Source organism: Homo sapiens, chromosome 2 (assembly GCF_000001405.40).
Source record: "Homo sapiens chromosome 2, GRCh38.p14 Primary Assembly".
Taxonomy (NCBI): Eukaryota; Metazoa; Chordata; class Mammalia; order Primates; family Hominidae; genus Homo; species Homo sapiens.
In genome coordinates, this window is record NC_000002.12 from 203,351,931 (window position 1) to 203,370,624 (window position 18,694).

Here is an 18,694-nt window from a genome sequence, read left to right on the forward strand (position 1 = left end):
TAACAGCTGAAAAATTCCTAACACCTAGTGACATGGTAGCCGTCCTAATGTTGTAGCACAATGCATTACTCTTGTGTTTGTGGTGATTCTGGTGTAAACAAACCTACTTCGCTACTAGTCGTTATAGAAGAGCAAAGGCAGAAGACACACACATCACAATTTTAAAACTATGAAAGTACAATAATAAAGACACTGTGGTACTGGCATACAGATACACATATAGATGTAGCAGCTGGTTGTCCAGGCTGGGTGGGGTGCTGCCCCCATGCCTATAATCCCAGCTTTTTGGGAGCCCGAGATGGAAGGACGGCTTGAGTTCAGAAGTTCAAGGTTACAGTGATAATAATAAAGATTATTACTGGTATATGTATTTATGATATTGTACTTTTTATTTTAGAGTTTACTCCTACTTATTAAAAAAAAGTTAACTGTAAAGGAGTCTCAGGCAGTCCTTCAGGAGGATTCCAGATGAAGGCATTGTTATCAGAGGAGATGACAGTTCCATAAGTGTTATTGCCTGTGATGACCTTCCAGTGGAACAAGATGTGGAGGTGGAAGACAGTGATATTGATGATCCTGACCCTGTGTAGGGTTAGGCTAATACGTCTGTGTCTCGGTTTTTAACAAAAAAAGTTAAAGAAAAAAAAAATAGAGAAAAGAGAAAATGATATAAAGAAAAAAATGTTGTACAACTGCATAATGTATTTTTATTACAACAGTCAAAAGTTTATGAGGTAAAAATTACAGTAAAGGTTAATTTATTATTGGAGAGAGAAAATTTAAGAAATAAATTTAGCGTAGCATAAATCTACAGTGTTTTTAAAGTCTACAGTACTGTACAGTAATGTCCTAGGCCCTCCTATTACCCAGACATGTTCTAGTCCTGTAAGCTGCGTTGATGGTAAGTGCCCTATGCAGGTATACCATTTTTTATCTTTTATGCTGTGTTGTTACTGTACCTTCTCTATGTTTAGGTATTCAAATGCTTACCATTATGTTAAAACTCTCTATAGTATTCCATATGGTAACATACTGTACAGGTTTGTCGTGTAGGAGCAGTAGGCTATACCATATAGCCTAGTGTGTAGTATGCTCTTTCATCTAGATTTGCGAAGTTTACTCTGTGATGTTTGCACAGTGACAGAATTGTCTAATGACGCATTTCTCAGAATGTATCCCTGTTAAGTGATGCATGACTGTACTTCTGTTTCTAAATTTATTCCTAAATATTTTATTCTTTTTCTGTTGTGAATGGAATTTGTAATTTTTTTTCAGATTACAATTATCATATAAAAATACAGTTGATTTTGTATATTGATCTTTCATGGTTACTTAAACTTGAATTAAAATTACATTTAAAATTACATTTTGCATTTCCACTAGCTACCATTCAAGCGCTTCATAGCTACATGTGGCTAGTGACTACCATATTTAGTAGCACAGATTTGATTATTTTCAACGTTGCAGTTTTATTAGATACCAAATAAAAACAAAAAAATGAGTACCCCTTTTACCTCTAATTTCCCTCTGTCCAGAGGTGCTTCATTTATGTATTTATTTATTTTTTGAGACAGAATCTCGCTCTGTCGCCCAGACTGGAGTGCAGTGGCATGGTCTTCTCTCACAGCAACCTCTGCCTCCCGGGCTCAAGTGATTCTCCTGCCTCAGCCTCCTGAGTAGCTAGGACTACAGGCATGTGCCACCACGCCTGGCTGGTGGCTCATTCCTGTAATGTTTTTATATTTTTAGTAGAGATGGGGTTTTACCATGTTGGCCAGGCTGGTCTCGAACTTTTTACCTCAAGTGGTCTGTCCACCTTGGCGTTCCAAAGTGTTGGGATTACAGGCGTGAGCCACCATGCCAGGCCCAGAGGTACTTTAAACTCTTATCTGTTTCTTCTGGTACTTGTCTCCATATGTCCATGTGATATGCCCATATTGCTATTTTTTGAGATTCAGACATTTTTACTATGAGATATGGTAACTTAGCTTTCTTATATTTCTTCCTATCTTCTTAACATGTAGATTTAGCAACTTTTAGATTTATTCATTGTATCCATTATATCTATATAAGTAATCACAGCTGAAGCATAGAGTGGATTGTGATTAGATTTTATTTATTTATTTATTTTTGAGACAAGGTTTGACTCTGTCGCCCAGGTTGGAGTGCGGTGGCGCAATCTCAGTTCACTGCAACCTCCACCTCCCGGGCTCAAGCCAACCTCCCACCTTGGCCTCCAAGTAGCTGGGACTACAGGCACGCTTCACCACGCCCTGCTAATTTTTGTATTTTTTATAGAGACAGGGTTTCGCCATGTTGCCCAGGCTGGTCTCAAACTCCTGAGCTCAAGTGATCTTCTCGCCTCAGCCTCCCAAAGTGCTGGGATTACAGGTGTGAGCCACTGCACCCAGCCAATTAGACTTCTTAAATTTTTTCTTTTCCTTGGCCCTAATAATTCATTTTTTTGACTTGCTTAGTTACCTGTGAATCTATCTTTAATTCATCTCTAAACTCTCCTCTGGATGTATGAATCTTATATGAACATACTGAAACATATCAGTAAACTACCAATTGTCAAGACCTTCGAAGGGACTGAATTTTTACCCTGTCTGGAAGTTAACAGGTTAGCCAGGGAGTTTTGTAGATGCTGTGGCAAAAGATGTGAGACTTCTGGGTCAAAGGCGTAGGACTTTATTACAGCAACAATAATAGCCAGCATATTAGCATTTTCTTGCACTATACTGGTTCCCAAGGCCCCAGTTCACATATTGTGATAAGAAGAGGCCCAGGTGATACTTGTATATGCAAGGGTTGTATTACAGGGAAGAACCTGAATTTAGGTAACCTAAATCTTTTATATTGGTCTGTAAACATGCCTGCCCTTTGCTCCAGAGGGATATGCTATCTTAGTATCTTCTAAGACTGTTTTCGATATAAACATTTCTGGAAAAGATGGTGTGGAATAAAGGTAGTCAGTACCTCTGCTCACATGAGTGCAGAGACCTATGGAAAATTGTCTTCTAATATCAGTTTCATCCATCCTCCCCACAAGAAGACATAAGTGTGTCCCCTTTGCCATTCTCCAATCTGGATTGTCTGGATTGTTAACGTTTTAGTCCTGCTTCTCAGCTGCATCTCAGAAGTTTCCTTTGCTGTCAACCTTGGATTTCCCTTTTCCTCTTTGATGTAGATCCTATTTTCTGGATCCCATGCTTCTTTCTAGGCTTTCCGTTTTGACAGTGCATATCCTCTGGTGCTTCCTGACAAAGAATACATGGAAAGTTAAAAAAAGAAGACTGGGTACGGTGGCTCATTCCTGTAATCCTAGCACTTTGGGAGGTCATGGTAAGAGGATTGCTGGAGCTCAGGTGGGAAGACTAGCCTGAGCAACATGGTGAGTTGTTTCTACTAAAAATAAAATAAAAAAAAAAATTAGCCAGGCGTGGTGGTGCGTGCTTCTAGTCCAGACTACTTGGGAGGCTGAGGCTAGAGGATTGCTTGAGCCTGAGAGTTTGAAGCTGCAGTGAGCTGTCATTGCACCACTGCACTCTAGCCTGGGCGACAGAGCAGGACCCTGTCTCAACAAAAGAAAACAACAAAAAACAAAAAACCCAAGAGGCCAGGCGCAGTGGCTCATGCCTGTAATCCCAGCACTTTGGGAGGCTGAGGTGGGCGGATCACCTGAGGTCTGGAGTTCCAGACCAGCCTGATCAACATGGAGAAACCCCGTCTTTACTAAAAAAATACAGAATTAGGCAGGCATGGTGGCGCACGCCTGTAATCCCAGCTACTCGGGAGGCTGAGGCAGGAGAATCGCTTGAATCTGGGAGGCAGAGGTTGCTGTGAGCCGAGATTACGCCATTGCACTCCAGCCTGGGCAACAAGAGCAAAACTGTCTCAAAAAAAAAAAAAAAAAAAAAACACCCCACCAAGAAACCCCTGGTGTGCTGAAAATCTTCAACTTTCACTAGATGGTTTGACTAGATGTAGAATTATAGATTGGAAATAATTTTTTCCCCAGATTGTAAAGGCATTCTTTTAGTTTATTGTCTCCTAGCTTTTGTTGTTGCCTTTGAAAAGTCAAGTAGTGTTTTGATTCTCAGTTCTTTGTATATAGTTTTTTTTCTCTCTCTCTGAAAGCTTATGGAATCATTTATTCCTCATGATGATGATCCTTCCTACGGGTCTTTTTCATTAATTGTACTGCACACTTAATGAGTGCAGTTAGTGGAGACATACTTTTCAGGTCTGAAAAAATTAACTTGTGTTTTTTTTGAGACAAGGTCTTGCTCTGTCACCCAGGCTGGAGGGCAGTGTTGCAATCATGGCTCACTACGAGCTCAGACTCCTGGGATCTCATGTCTTAGCCTCCCAAGTAGCTGGGATCACAGGCCTGTGCCATCACACCAGGCTAATTTTTTAATTTAATGAAATTTTATTTTATTTTATTTATTTTGAGACAGAGTCTCGCTCTGTTGCCCAGGCTGGAGTGCATTGGCGTGATCTTGGCTCACTGCAACCTCTTCCTCTCAGGTTTGAGCAATTCTCCTGCCTCAGCCTCCCGAGTAGCTGGGACTACAGGCGCGTGCTGCCACGCCCGGCTAATTTTTTGTATTTTAGTAGAGACGGGAATCTCACCATGTTACCCAGGCTGGTCTCGAACTCCTGAGCTCAGGCGATCCACCCACCTTGGCCTCCGAAAGTGCTATGATTGCAGGCGTTAGCCACCATTCCAGTCCAAATTTTTAAATTTTTTGTGGAGATGATGTCTCACCATGTTGCCCAGTCTCGAACTCCTGGGCTCAAGCAATCTTCCTGCCTCGACCTCCCAGAGTGTTGGGATTATAGGCATGAACTACCACACTCGGCAGCATATTTTAAAATGCAGTTATTTCTGAAAGTTTTTGGTTTTACACAATTTTTTTTTTTTTAGGTAATAAGATGTATTGTAAGGATTATGCTTACGTATGGTACAGAGTATACTTCACATTGTTCCTGTCTTTTTTGTGGGGGAGGGAATGACCGAAAGCATTGGGAATGTTAAAGGCAAATGAGTAAAAAGAAAACTAAAAAACGATTACTTCTTCAAATAATGAGGAAAGCGTTTTTAAAATTTTTGTCTGTTTTTAAAAAGCAAGTTTCATGTTAGATTTCTTACCACACTCAATTTTTTCCTAATATAAAATAGATATAAAATTTGTGATTTGTTACTTTTTATGTAAGCATATATAGTCCAGTCTAAAATGACCAACTTCCAAATGTGTTCCAGAAAAGAATCATGACATTTTATAGCTGAAAAGGACCTAAAAATCCAGTCCTTTTAATATAACATATGGTAACTGACTCCTTGGGAGTATAAATTAATTATTTAAGAGCAAGTAAGATAGTAGCAGAGCTAGAACAATAACTCAGATGCCCTTATCCATTCTAATATCCACAGCATTTCTAGAAACCTCACTTAAGGCATTAATGTGATAGGTTTTACTCAAAATAGTCAACCACAAATGTAGCAAATACCTAGGTGACTTTATGTTCTGAATCTCACGAAGATTAACCTCTGATCATTTGTTTTATTTCTAAATAACCTCCTTTTTCTAAAGTGCTCCTCTGACACTTTGGTGTGTAGGTGAATATCAAGTTAACCTGCCTCAGTTATTTCCAGTTTGTCTATACATATGTTGTCTAGGCAGATGATATAACATATTTTAAAAGTGTCATGTTATTGAGAACTGAAGCCAGTATATGTTAAATGATTAAAAGGAACAATTTAAAGAATTTTAGGATTCTTTGGTCTCAAGTGACAGAAACTGAATTTGGTTTTTGGGGTTTTTTGTTTGTTTGTTTGTTTGTTTGTTTGAGACAGAGTCTCACTCTGTTACCCAGGCTGGAGTGCAGTGGCGCAGTCTTGGCTCACTGCAGCCTCCGCCTCCTGGCTTCAAACGATTCTCCTGCCTCAGCCTCCCAAGTAGCTGGGACTACAGGTGTGGACCACCACACCTGGCTAATTTTTGTATTTTTAGTAGAGATGAGGTTTCACCATATTGACCAGGCTGTCTCGAACTCCTGACCTCCTGTGATCCATCCGCCTCAGCCTCCTGAAGTGCTGGGATTACAGCCATGAGCCACTGTGCCTGGCCTGTTTGTGTGTGTGTGTGTGTGTGTGTGTGTGTGTGTGTGTGTGTGTTTGTTTGTTTGTTTGTTTTTGAGACAGGGCCTTGCTCTGTTGACCAGGCTGGAGCGCAGTGGTAGTTAGTCATAGCTCGCTATATCTTCACTGCAGCTTTGAACTCCTGGGCTCAAGTGATCCTCCCTTCTCTGCCTCCCAAGTAGCTGGGACTACAGGTGTATGCCACCATGCCTGGCAAGTTTTTAAATTTTATTTTTATTTTTTATTTTTTGTAGAGACAAGGTCTTTCTCTGTTGCCCAGGCTGATCTTGAACTCCTGGCCTCAAGTGATTCTTCTGCCTTGTCTTCCCAAAGTGCCAGGATTACAGGTGTGAGCCACCACAGCCAGCCAGAAATGTAGTTTGAACAAACTTAAACAACAAAACGTAAATTTATTAGTTATTAATTAAACCATGTGAAGGAACAGGAATCACTGGAATCAGGAACTCAAACACTTTTAGAATTCTGTGTCTCGTTTCTGCTTCTTTATGCATGTTGGCTTCATCCTTTCAGATGGGCATACTCCATTTTCTGTGAGATATCCTTTCATGTGTTTTAGGCCTTGTATATTAATAGTTCTGACATCAGAAGACAAAAGCATTCTCTCTTTTAGAATCAGTTTGAAAAATCCAGCCAGGCATGGTGATTCACACCTGTAATTCCAGCACTTTGGGAGGCTGAGGTGGGCAGATCACTTAAATCCATGAGTTTGAGACCAGCCTGACTAACATGGCGAAACCCAATCTCTACTAAAACAAACCACAAATTAGCTGGGTGTAATGATGCACGTCTGTAATCTTAGCTGCTCCGGAGACTGAGGCACAAGAACTGCTTGAGCCTGGGAGGCAGAGGTTGCAGTGAGCCAATATCGTGCCACTGCACTTCAGCCTGGGTGACAGAGTGAGACTCTGTCTCAAAAAAACAAAAAACAAAAGAAAAATCCATGGAGGGATCTATGTCATGGTCCTGTTGCTTGAACAAAATCACTGTGGGCCTAAAATGGGCAAATGTATTGGAATTTCCTTAGTGTAGGTCAGACTGTGGGGTGTGGGATGGAGAGAAGGCATTTTGTTTTCCTTTTTAATCAAGATGCTTCTGAGACAAATGTGATCTGCTATGACAGATTAAGGTTTTTTTAAATAACATAACCAGTCTTTTTATATATGCCTTTATATTTTCCTTCATTTTCATATGAACTGAAGACTTCTAATTCCCAAGTTGATAGAATTTTCACTGATTACATTTTCACTTGAGTTCTTATGAGTGATGTCTTAATTTAGAGTATTCAGCCTGTAGTTTCTCTCATTTGTAGAATGTACAAAGATCCCAAATCTGTACTTTGCTTAATGTGAAAAAATCAATATTTTTAAAATCTGTTGTAGTTAGACAATATACAGGTTATATTCAAATATGTGCAAGTATATAAATGTATGTGTCTTAGTTCATTGGTCCTTCTAAAACAAAATATCTTAGGCTGGGGTAACTTAGCAGAGATTTATTGCTTGCAGTTCTAGAGGCTGGGAAGTCCAAGATCAAGACGTCAGCAGATTTGGTGTCTGTTGATGACCTGTTCCTCATAAATGGTGCCTTCTGTGTGTCCTCATTTGGCAGAAGGGACAAACAAGCTCCCTTGGACCTCTTTTATAAGGGCACTAATCCCATTCATGAAGGCTCTGCCTAATCACCTCCTAAAGGCTCCACCTCTTAATACCATCAACATCAGTGTTAGGTTCCAACATGTACATTTTTGGGGGGGGGACACAAAAATTCAGACTATAGCAATGAATATTTAGAAATTAAGCAGTTTTGGCCAGGTATGGTGGTTCATGCCTGTAATCCCAGCAGTTTGGGAGGCTGAGGCGGGTGGATCATGAGGTCAAGAGATTGAGACCATCCTGGCCAACATGGTAAAACCCCGTGCCTGCTAAAAGTACAGAAATTAGCTGGGCGTGGTGGTGCATGCCTGTAGTCCCAGCTACTCAGGAGGCTGAGGCAGGAGAATCGCCTGAACCTGGGAGGTGGAGGTTGCAGGGAGCTAAGATTGCACCACTGCACTCTAGTCTGGGTGACAGAACGAGACTCCATCTCAAAAAAAAAAAAAAAAAAAAAAAGAAGCAGTTGTACCCTAAAGGCCTTTTAAGTTAGTTAATGTGGTCTATTTTATTTTAGGATTTAAAAAAACACTTTAAAATAATTTAAAAACAATTTGTGTTGTCATGTGAGGTCGGTTATCAATGATAAAGGTTCTTATTGGTAAGAGGATGAGGAATGCTTTAAACAAAAGGCGAAGTGTTGGGTGGAGCAGATTATTTGGCTTAGATTTTTGAGAAGCTGGAAAGGAGAAATGGGATATGATGAAGGGAAACAAATTTGGTGGTTTGGGATAGAACAGTTGAGGCACTGTAAACATGAGGTAAGAAGAATTAAAGCAGTGTAAGTAGTGGAGGACAGAGATGGTAAGAATAGAGAGAGATGAACAGGCTAAAGAAGCAGTTTAGCAAAATGGAGAATTTAGATACCAGGAATGACCTGATTCAGGCTAGTAAGTGACGTTTGCCTAGAGATCAGTCTAACTGGGGCTCAAGATATGGCCTAGCTGTGAAACAACAGATGATGAGTGAGAAGCCCAGCATGCAGAAAAGAAGTTTGCTTGGCAAACCAGAGATTCTACCAATATTTAGGGACATGGCTTTCCAAGATCAGGAAACTTCTGAGTTTAGAACATTGACTCAACACAAGGTTAAATGGGACTCTTGTTTAGTCTCCTTTGACTCTTATGCTGTTGCTAATATCATTTATGAAATCAGCAAGGACCAAAATTAGGGTAACAACTAATTGTTACCCTTTCAAGGATGACGTATGCTCTGTTTATTCAAGAGTAATACATTACTGAGGAGAAGCGTGGCCTCAGCATGAGCACTAGCTCCACAGGTGTGGCTGATGGCTGTCAGTGCTTTGTAAAGCATGTTCTCTTGAAAGGAGATCTGAATATATGTGTCTGGCTGCCACAGCAATCCTTGCTTGAAATAAAATTTTCCATTACTGTTAGAAAAGTCCCAGAGAAGTCTCCTGTTGGCCTGTCTTGAGTCAGTGCCTTAGCCTGTCAGTGGCCAACAGGTTGGTGTGCTTTTGGCAGGCTTGGGTCATGTGTCCCTTCCTGAGGGGATGGGAGTCAATTCTCGGGCTTAAATCACCATATGAAAGTGAAATTCTGTTACTAGAGAACAGTAATGGATGCTGAACAAGAAAATGTTTGGCTTGGTGTGGTAGTGTGTGCCTCTAGTCCCAGCTGCTTGGGAGGCAGAGGCAGGAGGATCACTTGAGCCCAGGAGTTGGAGTCTAACCTGGGCAACGTAGTAAGACCCTGTCTCAGAAAAGAAAAAAGTTCTCTATAATGGTGGTTTGCTGCACTGAATTTTTTCTTGGCAGGGGACAGTTTGCTGCACTGAATTTTCTCTTTTTGTAGGAGACAGTATAGAAGTTGACAGAATGCTAAGGAAAACAGAATGAAAACTAAAAAAAAGGAGAAAGGCAGAGCCTGTTGTGTTGCATGGCAATAAAACCAGATGAAGAATGACCTGTTTTCAACCAGACAGTTCCTTATTTCTACTTAAAACATGACTGTTCTATGCAAATACAGGAAAATTTAAAAGGGCCATTAACATAGACATTCTCCATCCTTTTGCCTAGATTGAATGATGTCCTGTGTCTTATAGTGTCATTTATTGAGCGAGGTACCCTTTCTCAAAGCTGTGTCTGTGCTAAGTTTGCAGGAATCGAAATTTTGAGTGATTGTACTATATTAGTGAGGAAGGCTAGTGAAAAATAATTACTTCCCTTGTGATCCTTCATGAATCCTTAGGAGATTTAGCTAAAAATAATTTTTTGTTAGAGGAAACATTTCTAATGAGTTCTGCTGTTGACAGATCAGTTTGGAAAGAAAAGAGCTCTGCAGTTGATCAGCATAGTAATATATTTCTAGTTTATTTGTATGCTGGACCCTGGATGACATAGTTCCTGTGATCTCAGTTATTCTGGCAGTAGCTCAGCTAGTTCATATCCACAGTTGTGGCAAAAACTTTTGTACTGAAACAAGTGAAGTACAGATAATGTGACATCCAGAATGTGCTATTGTGGTCTGTTTTTCATCTAAGCATGAAATAATGATATTGAAAAATTGTTTTTAATTATAAGAGGAATATATAATGTTAGATAAAATAACCTGTACTTTCACTGTGAATATTTATTTTCTTTTAATAACTTCTAATATAGCAGTATAAGGTCATGTTGTTTGGACGTTCTGGGGGTAGTTGCTTTATATTCACATTCATGTAATTGGGAGTGTATTACCTTTGGGTCCCACTACATTTTAAATATTGAGTTTTACTATATTTTATTTTGTTTTTTCTACTGGTATTTTATTTATTTTATTTTATTTATTTATTTTGAGACTGAGTCTCACTCTGTTGCCCAGGCTGAAGTGCAGTGGTGCTTCACTTGGCTCACTGCAACCTCTGTCTCCTGGGTTCAAGCTATTCTCCTGCCTCAGCCTTCCAAGTAGCTGGGATGACAGGTGTGGGCCACCGTGCCTGGCTAATTTTTATATGTTTAGTAGAGATGGGGTTTCTCCATGTCGGGCAGGCCGGTCTTGAACTCCTGACCTCAGGTGATCCACCTGGCTTGGCCTCCGAAAGTGCTAGGATTACAGGTGTGAGCCACCACACCTAGCCTATATTTTAAATACTTTTTTGTTTTGAGATGGTCTCACTCTGTTGCCCAGACTGGAGTGCAGTGACCTGATCTCAGCTCACTGCAGCCTCACCTCCTGAGTTCAAGTGATTCTCCTGCCTCAGCCTCCTGAGGAGCTGGGACTACAGGCATACACCACCACGCCCGGCTATTTTTCGTATTTTTAGTAGAGACAGGGTTTTACCATATTGGCCAGGCTGGTCTTGAACTCCTGGCCTCAAGTGATCCGCCTGCCTCGGCCTTGCAAACTTTTGGGATTACAGGTGTGGCCCAGTGCACCTGGCAGTATTTTAAATACTTTTACATTAAAAAAAAATTTTTCGTGAGTATATAGGAGTAGGTGTATATATTTATGGGTTACCTGAGATATTTTGATACAGGCATACAATGTGTAATAATCACATTAGGGTAAATGGGATGTCCATCACCTCAAACATTTACCCTTTGTATTATAAACAATCCAACTATACTCTCAGTTATTTTAAAATGTACAATTAAATTATTTTTTATGAAATCACCCTGTTGTGCTAGCAAATACTAGGTCTTACTCATTCTTTTCTATTTTTCGTATCCATTAACCATTCTCACTTACCCCTACCTCCACCATTCTCACTTTCCCCCTACTCCCCACTCCCCTACCTCCCTATCTTTCCCTCTACCTCCTCCTGTCCTACCTCCCCACTTTCCCCCTACCCTTCCCATCCTCTGGTAACCATCCTTCTACTCTCTATTTCTGTGAGTTCAATTGTTTTAATTTTTAACTCCCACAAATAAGTGAGAACATGCGATCTTTCTGTGCCTGGCTTGTTTCACTTAATATAATGACCTCCAGTTCCATCTATGTTGTTGCAAATGACTGAATCTCATTATTTTTTATGGCCGAATAGTACTCCATTGGGCATATGTACCATATTTTCTTTTCTTTTCTTTTTTTTTGAGACAGAGTTTTGCTTTTGTTACCCAGGCTGGAGTGCAATGGTGCGATCTCGGCTCACTGCAACCTCTGCCTCCTGGGTTCAAGCAATTCTCCTGCCTCAGACTCCCAAGTAGCTGGGATTACAGGCATGTGCCACCATGCCTGGCTAATTTTGTATTTTTAGTAGAGACGGGGTTTTACCATGTTGGTCAGGCTGGTCTCAAATGCCTGACCTCAGGTGATCTGCCCACCTTGGCCTCCCAAAGTGCTGGAATTATAGGCGTGAGCCATGGTACCTGGCCTGTACCATATTTTCTTTGTCCATTCATCTTTTTTTTTTTTTTAAGTTTTATTTTGAGACAGAGTTTCTTGTCCAGGTTGGGGTGTAGTGGCATGATCTTGGCTCACTGCAACCCCCGCCTCCTGGGTTCAAGTGATTCTCCTGCCTCAGGCTCCTGAGTAGCTGGGATTACAGGCATCTGTCACCACACCCAGCTAATTTTTGTATTTTTAGTAGAGACGGGGTTTCACCATGTTGGTCAGGCTACTCTTGAATTCCTGACCTCAAATGATCTGCCCGCCTCAGCCTCCCAAAGTGTTGGGATTACAGGCGTGAGCCACTGTGGCTGGCAGGGAAAGATACTTGTACATGGGTCAGGAATTGAACCCGGGTCTCCTGTGTGAAAGGCGAGAATTCTACCACTGAACCACCATTGCGCTGACTTATCCGTAGAGCAGATAAACGAACAGCAACCTTGGTCCTTTAAACTTCATCTTGAACTTAGAAATAACAAGAAAAGACCCTTGAGCCCCAAATAACTTTTTGACGAGCATGCAAATGTAAAATACACTTCAGAAAGGTTTAAAAATCTTTTGGACCTCTTATGCTTTATAATTATTCCTTATAGTTGACTAGGATAGAATACTTAAAGTTTCTATTCTTTTATATTAATGCACATACATATTTTTTTAATTTTTTTTTTTTTTTCAAGAGACAGGGTCTTGCTTTGTTACCCAGGCCAGAGTGCAGTGATATGATCATGGCTCACTGCATCTTTGGCTTCTGGGCTCAAGTCATCCTCCCACCTCAACCTCTCTAGTAGATAGGACTACAGGGGTCCACCATCATGCCTGGCTGATTTTCTAAACTTTTGTGGAGTTGAGGTCTCACAATGTTGCCCAGGCTGGTCTTGAACTCCTGTCTTTAAGCAATGCTCCCGCCTCAGCCTCCTAACGTTGTGGAATTACAGACATGAACTGCCACGCCTGGCCAGCGTTATGCTTTACTCCTTTTGATAATGGAAGTAATACATGCCCAAGTTAAAAAAAAATTAAGCCATACTGAAAACATTTTAAAAATACAAATCAACTTTATTTCCAACATTCAGAGAAAACTTAGGTTATCATTTTGGAGCTTACTTTTTGGACTTTTTTTTGTGCTTGTATTTACACACAGGCACATACAGAATTATGATGATTATGTTCAAGATGCTTTGTAACCAGCTTTTTTTCACTTAGTTATATCGTAGATATCTTTACATAGCAGTAATGCATAGTAATACCATTTTAAATTACTGCATTAATGTACTATATGAATGTATTGTTTAGTCAGCCTCATGCTTTTTCTCTTTCATCATTAAATGAGTTCATGAACATGAATATTCTTGTCTGTACCTTTTTCTTATTTCATTATTGTATAATTTAAAGCTACAAATGTAGCAGAACTTGTAAAACTTCAGAGTGAAATATTGAAGCCCTTGAGGTGTTGGTATTTTTTTTATTTTATTTTTTGTTACTCTGGGATCAAGATTAGGAAAAATATTTCTCTCTCTCAGGCTACGTGTTTTCTGGGGCTGTTATCTTTTTTTTTTTTTTTTTTTTTTTTTGAGACGGAGTCTCACTCTGTTGCCCAGGCTAGAGTACAGTGCCATGATCTTGGCTCACTGCCTTCTCTGCCTCCCGGGTTCACACTGTTCTCCTACCTCAGCCTCCTGAGTAGCTGGGACTACAGGCGCCCGCCACCATGCCTGGCTAATTTTTTGTATTTTTAGTAGAGACGGGGTTTCACCGTGTTAGCCAGGATGGTCTCAATCTCCTGACCTCATGATCTGCCCGCCTCAGCCTCACAAAGAGCTGGGATTACAGGCGTGAGCCACCGTGCCCGGCCGGGGCTGTTATCTTAATGCTTACAGGACTTTATTTGTATTTTTATCTTTGTTTATTTTTGTTTTTTAAATTTTTTTACTTTTTGTGTTTTTTTCCATATTGGTTTTTTCATGTTCATATGTAAACTGTCATAGTATTTCTTAGACATCATTAATGGATAGAAATCTTAATTTTAAAATGGAAAAGAAGAATGAGTCTAACTGCATGTGTCAACTTAATTTATTTTAAAAATTACTTAATGTTTAGCTGGGCCTGGTGGCTCATGCCTGTAATCCCGGCACTTCAGGAGGCTGAGGCAGGCCAATGAATCACTTGAGTCTAGGAGTTCGAGACCAGCTTGGGCAACATGGCAATTTACATCTTTTAGGGTTATAACACTTACAATGTTTGGGAAGGAAGGATCCTTTTATTACTTTTAGTTTATCATGATTATTATTACCATTTTATTTATCATATTATTTATAATTTTTTTCTTAAAATTTTTTTTTCCTGGATGCTCTTATAGGGTTAAACATTATTATCACTTTAATCAGACATTATGTTATGGCCACATTTCACATATTAGAGTGAAAGGAAAAGAGGAATTCAGAAAAGCAGAAGAAAGTGAGTCAAAATTTATACGTTCAAATCAGTGCTACCTTTCCAAGCAATATATACTTTGCTGCCACTGCTCAAATTGTCCATTGGATCTCATTTTCTAGATAATGGCTTTAGGGTTTTATTTGCATCTGTGCAAAGATGTGTCTATTCAACATGAAAACATTAGTGAGTTCAGTCAATAGTTTGGTTTGGGGTTTATGTGATACCAGTAGTTTTCAATTCTGGTGGATTAGTTTTTTTACTTTCTGGTGGACTCAGCAGAATCGTTGTGATGAGTTTTTTGGTAGGTTAGTTTGCTAGAAATGGGTTATTTTTGAATTAATGATCACTGGTTTGTTTTTTTTCCCAGTCAGCAGATAAGCAGAGAGCCCTAGAAGAAACCAAAGCCTACACCACCCAATCCTTAGCAAGTGTTGCCTATCTGATAAACACCTTGGCCAACAATGTCCTGCAGATGCTGGATATCCAGGCATCCCAGCTACGAAGGATGGAATCTTCAATCAATCATATTTCACAAGTGAGACCACAATATTTTCCTATTTGCCTATGAGGAACCCTTAATAATAAACACAGGCTATCTGTAATGCTGGCAGCTTTTATTATGTAAGTTAACTCACATGTACGATTTGGAAAATAGCAACTTAATATTAGGTTGTTTTTAGATTCTGTCTTTTTGTGGGATGGTTATCTTCTCTGTGATTTTGATAGGAAAGTAAATCGTAATGAATTTTATTAAAACTCAGTTGTCATGGTAACATAATCAGCCCTATAATGAAACTTCATCCATTCCCCCGCCTTTTTTTTTTTTTAAAACAAATTTCATACTTCTTTATCAATTTAAAAAGATAAACTTGATAGATTGGTGGCTTGTTCAAAAATTTTTTTTTCTTTTGGTAGGATTTATGTTTACTGGGATGGTACCATACCTGCAATAATGGAAAGACTAGCAAACCTTATGAAATTATTTTTATTATATATAATTTAAAAAAAAGTGTATTACTTCATGGGCTTGTAAAAGTTTTTTAAAAAATGTTAATCTGTCTTCATTATAAAAGCCATACTCATGAAAACCCAGAAAAAGAAGAGAAAAAGTAGAAAAATAAACCATTTTACCACTTCCCAAGCTTTTCTCTGTTAATATTTTGGTATATCTCCTTGTAATCCTTTTTCCTGTAAGTAGTTTTTTTTAAATGTAACTGTGGGCTGGGCACACATCTGTAATCCCAGCACTTTGGGAGGCTGAGGTGGGAGGATCGCTTCAGCCCAGGAGTTCCAGACCAGCCTGGGCAGCATAGCAAAACCCTGTTCTCTACCAAAAATACAAAAATTAGCCAGGTTTGGTGGTGCACGCCTGTTGTCCCAGCTACTTGGGAGGCTAAGGTGGGAGGATCATCTGAGCATGCGGAGGTCTAGACTATATTGAGCTGTGATTATGACATGCCCTTCAGCCTGGGAGACAGAGTGAAACCCTGTCTCCAAAAAAAAATAAAAAAAAGTAGCCAGGATTATAATAGAGTCAGTTATAGAATAGGTATAAAATTTTGGGTTCTGCTTTTTTAACTTAGCGTTAAGGCAAACATAATCTCTTGATGTTGTAAGTTCTTCATAAACATTCTCAGTGGCTGCATAATGTTGCGTGTATATGTTGTACCTTTCATAATCATTCCCATATTTTGGGGCCATTTAAAATAATACTGCAGTGAAAAACCAATTAAGTTGTAAAATGCAATTTAAAAAATATAAAAATGATAAAGGTTTTGGTCTGCCTCCCTTTTTTTGAATAGATCTTTGAAATGTTCTATTTTAGCACTCTTGTCATTTGAATGATTATTATTCAACACTCTTTTTAGACCTAAATGATTAGAACTATTTTGGAATGAAAATAATTTTTAAATGTGCATATTATTATTATTTTTAATGTCTTGAGAGTTCAGGGCTCTTTTCAAATGAACTAACCATCTTTGAGAGTCTAAAGTTTAGCAAATTTGTATAACTAGACCAAATATAGTCCAGATAATAAAATCAGATATGGTATTTTTGAAAATTTGTCAGACCAATTTAGAGAGATTTCTTATTTAATATTACTTAATCTGAAATCTGAATTTGCCATTATAAGGGTTTCTTCACATTTTATACAAACTTCTGCAGACATATCATTTATTGCTTGTTATATTGTGTATCTTAAGTTAAAAAAAAATTGGTGCGTTTTAATGAGTGTAAGGTAAATTTCAGTTGGGAAAGGCCTCCTGAAGGAAATAATCAATGGGATTTTAAATGACGAAATAGATGAATTTTTTTTTTTTTTAAGAGACAAAGTCTTGCCCTGTTTCCCAGGCTGGAGTATAGTTGTACAATCATGGCTCACTGCAACCTCGAACTCCTGGGCTCAAGGGATCCTCCTGCCTCAGCCTCTCAAGTAGCTGGCTGGGACTACAGGCACGTGCCATGCTTGGCTGATTTTTTTTTTTTTTTTTTTTTTTTTTTTTTTTGTAGAGACAGTGTCTTGCCATCATGCTGGGGCTGGTCCTGAAATCCTGGGCTCAAGCAGTCTCCCACCTTAGTCTCCCAAGGTGTTGGGATTACAGGTGTGAGCCAGTACTCCTGGCCTGAACTTGGTTTTCTGTAGAAGGAGGGAGGTTGACAAATTGCTAATGTGATATAGAATTTCAAGATCTATTCTTGAGAATCCTAAAATTTTTCCATGTTTGAAGCATTAGCAAAGGATGTTAAAAAGAAACGTTAAAAAAAAGAACAAATATAGAAGAGAAACTAGTATATTTGAGTTCCTAAAAAGGAGGAACAAGTTTTACTAGGCATTAGGGGAGAGTAGGAGAGATTATGTGGGTAAATGATGACAACAAGCAAATAGCAATGAAGGATAATAATTTATTTTCTGTTTAGAATTTTGTAGTACTTTGGTAGAAAAGTGTTAGCAAGCTCAAGGAGGAAGGTGAATACTCAGCCACCCTAGATTTTGAGTATATGTATTAATTCAGTTATTCAGAACATTTTCTTTAGGAGTATCATATAAATTGGCGTTTAATTAATGTGGTCAATTAATGCTGTCTTTTAAAGCTATCTTAATGGATTAAGTAAAAAACAGAAGAATGGATAGAGATTAATAAACTGGAAATTACAGAGGCCTCAGTCAAAGCTGTCAGGAATACGTCGAACCTTCTTTTTTCAGAGTTGAGTGTCTAGAGGGCAATAGTTGGAGGGGTAATAGATCTGCAATTCTCAGTGGCTGTTAAGTTTATACAGAATATAAATTATTATGTTGGATAAAGGATCAAGTCTGAGAAATAGGCTGATAGAGGCTATATTTAAGAAATAAGAGTAATTTTAAAAATTTATGTATTTTCTAGCATTTGCCTCAAGGATTGAAATTTTTTTTTTTTACTTGTGTTTACAGGTAGAATTCTTTATTTAAAAAGTCAGTTGAATATCAAAACTATTTGATATTCTTCAGACTGGAATATTATTCTCTAGTGTAGAAGAAAACATTTTCTGCTTACAAAACAAATAGTAAATACTCTAAAATAGGGGTTGGCAAACTTTTCTTAAATAAAAGGCCAGATGGTAACTATTTTAGGTTTTGTGGGCCATGTGTTGATAACTATTTTAGGTTTTGTGGGCTACGTATGGTGTCATTCTCCTATTCTCTCTCTCTCTCTCTCTCTCTCTCTCTCTCTCTCTCTCTTTCTGTGTGTATGTGTGTGTGTGTACTTTTTTTTTTTTGGTTGGGGGATGGGGTCTCATGATGTTGCCCAGGGTGGTCTTGAACTCCTGGTCTCAAGTGATCCTCCCACCTCAGCCTCCCAAAGTGCTGGGATTACAGGCATGAGCCACCATGCCCAGCAAAGAGAGATGACATTGCATGTAAGGATAGAGATGTGGACAGATTTGAGAGACAGTTTAATTACGTTTTCTTTTCTTTTTTGTGTGTGTATTTTTAAACAATGATTTAAAAATGTTAAAACTATTCTTAGCTTCTGGGCCATATAAAAGCAGGCAGCGGGCCACATTCTGGCATGGAGCCTTAGTTTGCCAGCCCCTGCTCTAAAATACTTTTTCCAAATGTTTGAGTGTTAAATTTT

At 39.0% G+C, this 18,694-nt stretch overlaps 1 protein-coding gene and 1 pseudogene across 123 annotated transcripts in view, besides 2 other annotated features; one reads left to right on the forward strand and one right to left on the reverse strand.

The window, feature by feature from the left end:
• ABI2 (abl interactor 2) overlaps window positions 1–18,694 on the forward strand; it is a 103,776-nt gene that overhangs the window by 23,537 nt on the left and 61,545 nt on the right. For 92 of the 123 annotated variants that reach the window (NR_164707.1, NR_164712.1, NR_164711.1 and 89 more), the window contains one exon: window positions 14,947–15,114. The exons of 11 other annotated variants lie outside the window; for them this stretch is intronic. Coding sequence is in view for 97 of the 112 variants with exons in the window: in NM_001375719.1 (NP_001362648.1) it covers window positions 14,947–15,114 (168 nt within the window). In the remaining 15 variants the exon portion in view is untranslated. Of the gene's footprint in view, window positions 1–14,946; window positions 15,201–18,694 lie in introns of those variants that run through there. 20 more of the 123 variants (NR_164717.1, NM_001282932.2, NM_001375754.1 and 17 more) reach the window with 3 other exon arrangements.
• Window positions 9,240–9,329: an enhancer, noted in NCBI's record as "active region_17011". NCBI's record gives its function as "activates an Ori minimal core promoter by ATAC-STARR-seq in GM12878 lymphoblastoid cells {active_cell/tissue: GM12878}" and the evidence as "EXISTENCE:reporter gene assay evidence [ECO:0000049][PMID:35858748]".
• Window positions 12,433–12,633: a silencer, noted in NCBI's record as "peak4020 fragment used in MPRA reporter construct". NCBI's record gives its function as "represses an SCP1 promoter by STARR-seq MPRAs in K562 erythroleukemia cells {active_cell/tissue: K562}" and the evidence as "EXISTENCE:reporter gene assay evidence [ECO:0000049][PMID:32103011]".
• TRE-TTC9-1 (tRNA-Glu (anticodon TTC) 9-1) lies at window positions 12,478–12,548 on the reverse strand (annotated as a pseudogene).